Source organism: Homo sapiens, chromosome 4 (assembly GCF_000001405.40).
Source record: "Homo sapiens chromosome 4, GRCh38.p14 Primary Assembly".
Classification (NCBI taxonomy): domain Eukaryota; kingdom Metazoa; phylum Chordata; class Mammalia; order Primates; family Hominidae; genus Homo; species Homo sapiens.
This window is the reverse complement of record NC_000004.12, coordinates 184,072,113-184,075,569: the sequence shown is the minus strand read 5'-3', so window position 1 is coordinate 184,075,569 and position 3,457 is coordinate 184,072,113. Positions and strand designations below refer to the sequence as shown.

General features: G+C 38.6%; 1 pseudogene; it reads right to left on the bottom strand.

Annotated features, from left to right (window-relative positions):
* On the bottom strand, positions 2,371–3,148 carry LOC100421006 (very low density lipoprotein receptor pseudogene; annotated as a pseudogene).

Below are 3,457 nucleotides of genomic sequence, written 5' to 3'. Positions count from 1 at the left end.
AAAAGAAGTATAAAAATTCTGAACTTCTGTGTGTCAAAAATTAAGCAAATTTAAGTTGAATTGATTCTTAAACAAGAAAAGAGCAAAGTGGAAAAATTTATAGTAAATATAATAAGTGGTCAATTTCCTTAATCTTTCCATTTCTTTCTTCCTCTTTTTTTTTTTTTTTTTTTTTTTTTTTTTTTTTTTTTTTTTTTGAGACAGGGTCTTGCTCTGTCATTCAGGCTGGAGTGCAATGGTGCAATCACAGCTCATTGGAACTTCAAGCTCCTGGGTAGCCGGGACTACAGACTCACGCCACCACACCCAGCTAATTTTTGTATTTTTTGTAGAGACAGGGTTTCGCCACACTGCCCAGGATGGTCTCCAGCTCCTGGGCATGAGCAATCTGCCTGCCTCAACCTCCCAAAGTGCTGGGACTACAGGCATGAGTCACCATGCTCAACCTCCTTAATCTTTAAAAAACTCTTATGAATCAAAAAGAAAATGATTAATATCTCAGTAAATAAATGAGTAAAGAACATAGATTACTATATACAAATAGTTTATATACATTTTTAAAATCACATAACTTCAAGTGTAATCAAAATTGTAAATAAATAAGATGCTAATTTTGTCCATGAAATTGGCAAAGGTTCTTTTCAAATTGCAGCAGGGAGCTGTCAGGCGTGTTGCCCTGATGGAATTCCATCCACATGGAATGACACATCAGAGGTGATACATGATCTCAACAATGTTAAATTAATGTATCCTTTCTGAGAACAATTTGGCACTTAATATAAGAACCTTGAAAAGTACATAACCTTGTATTCAGCATGGTTTTTAAAATGTTTTTTTCCCAAATTATTAACAACGAAATAGTGCATGTACATATTTTAGAAATCAAGCCAGGTGCAGAGGCTCATGCCTGTAATCCCAGCACTTTGGGAGGCTGAGGCACGTGGATCATTTGAGGTCAGGAGTTTGAAACCAGCCTGACCAACATGGTGAAACTCTGTCTCTACTAAAAATACACACAAAAAACCTAGCTGGCCATGGTGGTGCCCGTAATCTCAGTTACTCGGGAGGCTGAGGCAGGAGAATCATTTGAACCTGAGAGGCAGAGGTTGCAGTGAGCCAAGATCTCACCACTGCACTCCAGCCTGGGTGACAGAGGAAGACCTCGTTTCAAAAAAAAAAAAAAAAAAAAAAAAAAAAAACCAGTAACTCCCTGTTCCATTCCTTTAAGTCCTCTGGGTTTGATCTTTTAGCAGTTTTTGTTTTTCTTCTGGTATATATCTCCATGTTTTGTCTGTAATCAATATGTTTATGACATTATTTCTTACATTTTTGGACAGCATCTATTGACGCCTAGTGCCCGCTGCACTCATCTTTTCCTCTCACTGTGATTATTTCACAAGTTGTACTTAGAGTGATAATCAGTGTTTCAAATATTATGATTATGTCAACATTGTTCACTTTGCAGTGATTATTTCTTTTCTTAATACCATGTGTTTTTTCCTGGGTTAGCAACTGTCCTGTTTTATTCACTCATGTAGTTTTCTATACATTTATCTTTAATGATTTCAAGTGCTCTTTCATATGTGTCATACATGAATACATGCATCTGTTTCTGTAATAACATGAGATATGTTTTACTGAAAATTTTCACCTTCTGTAAAGCTGTGTTACTAAATGTCATAGGGTTTATGGAAAAAATGAGGTTAAAATAAGTGTCTCAAAACCTGTGCAATTTTATAATCAAAGCATTGACAAAAATAACAATTGGCACCTTTAGAGATCCCCTGGAGAATGTGTGTGGGTAGCTCATTACGGCTGTGATCTGCTTTAAGGATATGGAAAAGAAATGGTGGCTTATGGGTGGGCACTGAGATAGTATCTGTGGAAATGCAGCTCTGAGCACCAGAGGAAGAGCAACCTGCTATCAACTGAGAGCTGTGCAAGGCAGGGGATGTGCCTGGTGGAGACAGAGCCCCAGGCTCATTATGCTCATTTTTAATTAAAAAGAAATAAAGTTGAAAGAGATTCTGGGAAGGTAATAATGGCAGCAGAGACTGTTTTTTTTAAATCTCCCTGAATCCCCATATTAAAAATATTGAACAACAAAATCAACCAGACAGACATTTATAACAAAACTGAGTGACAAAGTATCCCCAAGAACCCCAAGATACAAGTAGATGGGGTCAAGCTACCAATAGCTATAAGGCCTGCATCATGTCAGTGTCTGTGAAGAAGGAAGGAGTTGAAAGCATTCATGAGGATTGCACCCCATGACCCAAACACCTCCCACTAGGCCCCACCTCCCAACACCGCTACACTGGGGGCCAAATTTTAACATGAGTTTTGATGGGGACAAACTCAAACCACAGCAAGGGTCAAATACACAAGCTTTATCCACAACAGAGATATCGTGAGGTTCCTCCAGGCTGGAGGAAGAAACGGCCTCATCTTCTGGCTTTGTTACCCTTCCAAAGTAGGGAATTATTGATGTGGACCTCAGAAGTCGAGACTTCTAAGTTGGTCTTAGAAGTCAAGCTGAGTCATCATCTGTGCTTATGACCGGTATTACTGGGCACGTGCATCCACCAGAAGCACCATGTCTACCCATGTCCATTAAGAGGTCCTCTTCCATGGTTTTCAAGTACACAGGATTGTCAAAGATCACACCTTTTATGTTCTTGTGTTGCCAGTTCTGCCACTCAAGTATCCACCTACTGCTGCCATTGCTTAGAGCAAAAGAGGAAGGATGACCCAGACAGGAGAAGTCTCCTTTGGAGGAACACTGACTTTTGATACCAGAGTGGTCACAGTGATCCTTTGACACTCTCTGCCATTTTCCTTTAGATTGTACCCACTGGGACAGGAACAGGTATATTTGGGAAAGCAATCATTAATCTGTGGTGCTGGAAGGTGTGGGTATTCAAATCCTCTGTTCTCTATGTCTTCTTCATGCACATCTTTATCTGATGGCTTCACATCAATTTTTACAAGTTCATGAAAGATAATATAGTCTTGGGCATCAGTAAGGTTGTTAACTAGAGTGGACAGCCCCAATCCAGTGAATTTACTAGCACCATAGGCTTCTTTATTTTCTCCATCTATCCAGATGATCCTCAAATATTGTTAGTACAAGAAAATGAGCTGGGAAGCCAACAAAGCAAGAAAACTTTCCTGAAATTAAAAAGAAAAAACCTGAGACTACACACTAAAAGAACATGCCACATACCTGTGAATATCAACCAGAACCACAAATACCAAAACCAAACTAGACTTGAATTTAAGACAAGGAAAAATCTTTTTTGGGCATCTAAGCAAAAACAGGAAGCAATTTATAATGAAAAGTCTTTTCAAACACAATGCTTTATGGCAGAAGAAAATGGACTAACATGTTTGAGATACTAATGGAAAGAAAATGTGAACCAAGAATTTTATGACCAGCAAAATGGATTTTCTCAAG